We start from the raw sequence: 5,188 nt of genomic DNA, 5'->3' as shown, positions 1-5,188 counted from the left end.
GGAAATGCTGAGTCTAAGGTGTTTGGGGAATGCCTCTTTGAGGAGAAGATATGAGATCTGAGAGCTAAAGGTGGGGAAGGAGCTGGAGGAGGAGCATGCTAGGCAGAGGCTGACAGCAACTGCAAAGGCTTTCAAAGCCAGCAGGAGAGTCAACGTGCTGCTGCCTGGGCCGAACCACAGCTCCCAAGCCTATGCCAAGGAGCCCCAGTTCACCAGCAGTGCAGCCAGCTTTGCGATCCCCATGGCACTGCCTCCTTGTTTGAAGGCCCCTCATCTTCACCTGGCCCTCCCAAGATCTCATCTCCAAGGTGGGCCTCAGCCAAGCGGCCGTGACCATTGCTGTTTCCAAGAAACTAATTCGACAAGATTTTAGGAGCTAATAGATGATCAGCCTTAACGATGCAAATGTAAATAAGCAAAAGAATTGAAAGCAGGCCCAAGGCAGTGGCTCATGCCTTAACCCTAGCACTCTGGGAGGCCAAGGCAGGAGGATCGCTTGAAGCCAAGAGTTGGAAACCGGCCTCGGCAACATAGTGAGACCCCATCCCTACAAAATAAGAAAAATTAGCTGAGCATGGCAGTGTGCCCCTGTGGTCCTAGCTACTCAGGAGGCTGAGGTGGGAGGATCACTTGAGCCCATGATCACACGACTGCACTCCAGCCTGGGCGACAGAGCAAGACCCTGTCTCAAAAAAAAAAAAAAAAAAAAAATTAAAAGCAGAGTCTTGAAGAGATATTTGTCCACTGATGTTCACAGCAGCATTCCTCACAGTAGCCAAAAGATGAAAACAAGCCAAGTGTTACACATAGACAGTACCGTATTCAAAATGTAATACTGAGATGTTTCAGACTATAAAAGGAAGGAAATTTTTTTTTTTTTTTTGAGACGGAGTCTCGCTCTGTCACCCAGGCTGGAGTACAGTGGCACAATCTTGGCTCACTGCAACCTCCGACTCCCTGGTTCAAGCGATTCTCCTGCCTCACCTCCTGCATAGCTGGGATTACAGGCACACACCACCATGCCCAGCTAATTTTTGTATTTTTAGTAGAAAAGGGGTTTCACCATGTTGGCCAAGATGGTCTCGATCTCCTGACTTCATAATCTGCCCACCTCGGCCTCCCAAAGTGCTGGGATTACAGGCGTGAGCCACTGCCCCCAGCAGGAAATTCTTATAGTCTACAACATGGATGAATCTTGGAGAACATTATGCTCAGTGAAATAAATCAATCACAAAAGGACAAGTACTGTATGATTCTACTTATATGAGGTTCCTAGAGTAGATTCATAGAGACAGAAAGAATTGGTGTTGTCAGGGGCTAAGGGGAGGAGGAATGGGGAGCTATTGTTTAATGGGTACACATTTTTGGAAGATGAAAAAGTTCTGGCAATGGAGGGTTTTGATGGTTGTACGGCAGTGTGAATGTACTCAATGCCACTGTCTTCTGAGAACCGCAAAAACTCTCGGCCTGAAAAACTTCATCTAAATCTGTCTCTTGAGAGCTTTGACCAAACTCTGACATGGCTTCTAGCAGCCTACAGCCTGAGCTCTGGGAAAATCCAGCCCCCCTTGAGTTCGTCTGGAAAAACTCAAGGTTGACAACTGATCTGACTGTTCCAGGCACCTGATGATAGACCCCTGACCTCCCTTTCTTAGAAAGACTGATTTTTTTTTTGAGACAGGGTTTCACTTTCGTTGCCGAGGTTGGAGTGCAATGGCGTCATCTCAGCTCACTGCAACCTCTGCCTCCCAGATTCAAGCAATTCTCCTGCCTCAGCCTCCCAAGTAGCTGGGATTACAGACGCCTGCCACCACACCCAGCCAATTTTGTATTTTTAGTAGAGATGTGGCTTCACCATGTTGGTCAGGCTGGTTTCAAACTCCTGACCTCAGGTTATCCACCTGCCTTGGCCTCCCAAGGTGCTGGGATTACAGGCATGAGCCACCATGCAGAGCCCTACAGTGCCCTTTCAGCATTGCCATCTGTAGATGGATGGCATAGGTGTTAACCAGTTCAGTGGATCCTCTGCTTTTTTGCAAAGGCAGAGAGCCAGTGTGACAGCTTTCCGTATCCCAAGCTCTTGTCCAGTGTACCATAAGAATCAGGTCACACATGGACTTGAAGAATGAATGCAACCGTCTCATTGAGTGGTGGAGGTGGCTCAGCTGGATGGATTGAGAGGTGGAAGGACAGGACGGAAAGATGATCTTCCTGTGGAATTTTGCCGCCCAACAGCCAATCTCTTCTCTGACCATCCCCAGCCTAACTCCTCTCAGCATTTACATGCACTTTCTCTTTGCTCTGCCGTGCCATGCTGCCATTTGCTTATCTCCTTACCTGCTTCAGGAGCCTGGCATTTAGGATTTATATAGGTACAGGATAGGGGGTGTGGCAAGCCAAAAAACACCTTTTAGACATAACAGGAATGCCTGTCCTCATTTAGAAACAGCCACCCAGGATTGAGGCTGGGGCCTTACTAAGCATGGAACCTCCCTCTTCTAACCAGCACTTGGCTCCCATTTTTATCACTACTACTCAAGTAGGCTTATCAGACCTTTAAAATTGGGTCTGGAATTAGCAGGTTCTTGGTCTCACTGCCTTGAAGAACAAGACCACAGACCCTCACGGTGACTCTTACAGTTCTTAAAAGTGGTATATCTGGAATTTATTCCTTCTGATGGATGGATGTGCTCAGCTTCCTCCTTCTGGCAAAACACGCAGGAACAAAGCTAAAGACCTTATCCGTGTTACAGCTGTTAATATAGTGTAGCCAGAGTCGTTCGTTCTTCCTGGTGGTTTCGTAGTCTCGCTGGCTTCAAAAGTGAAGCTACAGACTTTCACAGTGAGCGTTATAGCTCACAAAGGTAATAGAAACATATACACCAACCTGCAGCAAGACATCACAAAACACACCCCTTCCATTATCGGCAAAGTAACTCAAAAGGGTCGCAACTACTGGTTTGGGCGCCTGCTTTTCTTCTCTTATCTGGCCCCACCCACATCCTGCTGATTGGTCCATTTTACAGAGAGCCGATTGGTCCATTTTGACAGGGTGCTGATTGGTGCGTTTACAATCCCTGAGCTAGACACAAAAGTTCTCCATGTCCCCACTAGATTAGCTAGTACAGAATGTCAATTGGTGTATTTCCAAACCTTGAGCTGGATACAGTGCCGATTGGTGCATTCACAATCCCTTAGCTAGACACAAAGATTCTCCAAGTCCCCACCAGATCAGCTAGACACAGAGCGCTGATTGGTGCATTGCCAAACCTTGAACTAGATACAGAGTGCCAATTGGTGCATTCACAATCCCTTAGCTAGACATAAAGGTTCTCCAAGTCACCACCAGATCAGCTAGACACAGAGTGCTGATTGGTGCATTTACAAACCTTGAGCTAGATACAGAGTGCCGATTGGTGTATTCACAATCCCTTAGCTAGACATAAAGATTCTTCAGGCCCCCACCAGATTAGCTAGGTACAGAGTGCCGATTGGTGCATCCACAAACCCTGAGCTAGACAGGGTGCTGATTGGTGTATTTACAATTCCCTAGCTAGACGTAAAGATTCTCCAAGTCCCCACCAGACTCAGGAGCCCAGCTGCCTTCACCTGGCGCATCCCGCACCCGGGCCGCAGGGGGAGTTGCCTGCCAGTCCCGCGCCGTGTGCCCGCACTTCTCAGCCTTTGGGCGGTCAATGGGACTGGGCACTGTGGAACAGGGAGCGACGCTCATAGGGCAGGCTCCAGCGGCGCAGGAGTCCACGGCGGGGTGGGGGGAGGCTCAGGCATGGCGGGCTGCAGGTTCCGAGCCCTGCCCCGCGGGGAGGCAGCTAAGGCCCAGCGAGAAATTGAGCACAGCAGCTGCTGGCCCAGGTGCTAAGCCCCTCACTGCCCCGGGCCGGCGGGGCCAGCCGGCCGCTCTGAGTGAGGGGCCCGCCGAGCTCACGCCCACCCAGAACTCGCGCTGGCCCGCAAGCGCCGCGCAGCCCCGGTTCCCGCCCGCGCCTCTCCCTCCACACTTCCCCGCAAGTTGAGGGAGCTGGCTCTGGCCTTGGCCAGCCCAGAAAGGGGCTCCCACAGTGCAGCGGTGGGCCGAAGGGCTCCTCAAGCACGGCCAGAATGGGCGCCAAGGCCGAGGCCCCGAGAGCGAGCGAGGGCTGTGAGGACTGCCAGCACACTGTCACCTCTCAAAATTAAGAGTGGTTGGATGCAGTGGCTCATACTTATAATCCCAGCACTTTGGGAAGTCAAGGAGGACGGACTCCTTGAGGTCAGGAATTGGAGACCAGCCTGGGGAACATAGCAAAACCTTGTCTCTACAAAAAACACAAAAATTAGCCAGGTGTGGTTGTGCACGCCTGTAGTGCCAGCTACTCGGGAGGCTGAGGTGGGGGGATTACTTGAGCCTGGGAGGTCAAGGGAGGCTACAGTGAGCCTGTCATCCAGCCTGGGTGACAGAGCGAGACCCTGCCACCAAAAAAAAAAAAAAGAAAATAATTTTTTAAAAAAATGTTTTTTGAGACAGAATTTTGCTCTTGTCGCCCAGGCTGGAGTGCAATGGCGCGATCCTGGCTCACTGCAACCTCCACTTCCCGGTTCAAGCGATTCTCCTGCCTCAGCCTGCTGCGCAGCTGGGATTACAGGCACCCGCCACCACGCCCAGCTAATTTTTGTATTTTTAGTAGAGACGGGGTTTTGCCATGTTGGCCAGGCTAGCCTCCAACTTCTGACCTCAGGTGATCCGCCTGCCTTGGCCTCCCAAGGTGCTGGGATTACAGGCATGAGCCACCACGCCCAGCCCGAAAGAAGAGATTTGGGGTACTGCTATACTCCAGGCACATTTGCACCCAACCGTGGGCGATGCCAGAGGCACAAGGGCTTTGAGTGATTGAGATTCATCCCAGCTGTAATTTCTACAGATACTGTGTTGTTCTATTGCTGTATAACAATTACCCCAAAACCAAACAGCTTGAAACAACAATAAACACTTTTTAGCTCACACGATTCCTGTGGATCAGGAAGTTGGGAATGGCTTGTCTAAGCAGTTCTGGCTCAGGGTCATTCATGAGGTTGCAGTCAAGAATCAACCAGGGCTGCTGTCATCTGAAAGCCTGGCTAGGGCTGGAGGACCTACTTCCGAGATGGCTCAGTGGTATGGCTACAGGCAGGAGGCCTCAGTTCCTCACAT

At 50.8% G+C, this 5,188-nt stretch overlaps 1 annotated feature.

The window, feature by feature from the left end:
* Positions 3,797-4,416: an enhancer, noted in NCBI's record as "H3K27ac-H3K4me1 hESC enhancer chr6:7456191-7456810 (GRCh37/hg19 assembly coordinates)". NCBI's record gives its function as "activates a minimal SCP1, AML or CMV promoter by ChIP-STARR-seq in naive H9 embryonic stem cells {active_cell/tissue: H9 hESC(naive)}" and the evidence as "EXISTENCE:reporter gene assay evidence [ECO:0000049][PMID:30033119]".

The sequence above is a fragment of the Homo sapiens genome, chromosome 6 (genome assembly GCF_000001405.40).
Source record: "Homo sapiens chromosome 6, GRCh38.p14 Primary Assembly".
Classification (NCBI taxonomy): domain Eukaryota; kingdom Metazoa; phylum Chordata; class Mammalia; order Primates; family Hominidae; genus Homo; species Homo sapiens.
This window is presented reverse-complemented; position numbering and strand designations above follow the sequence as displayed.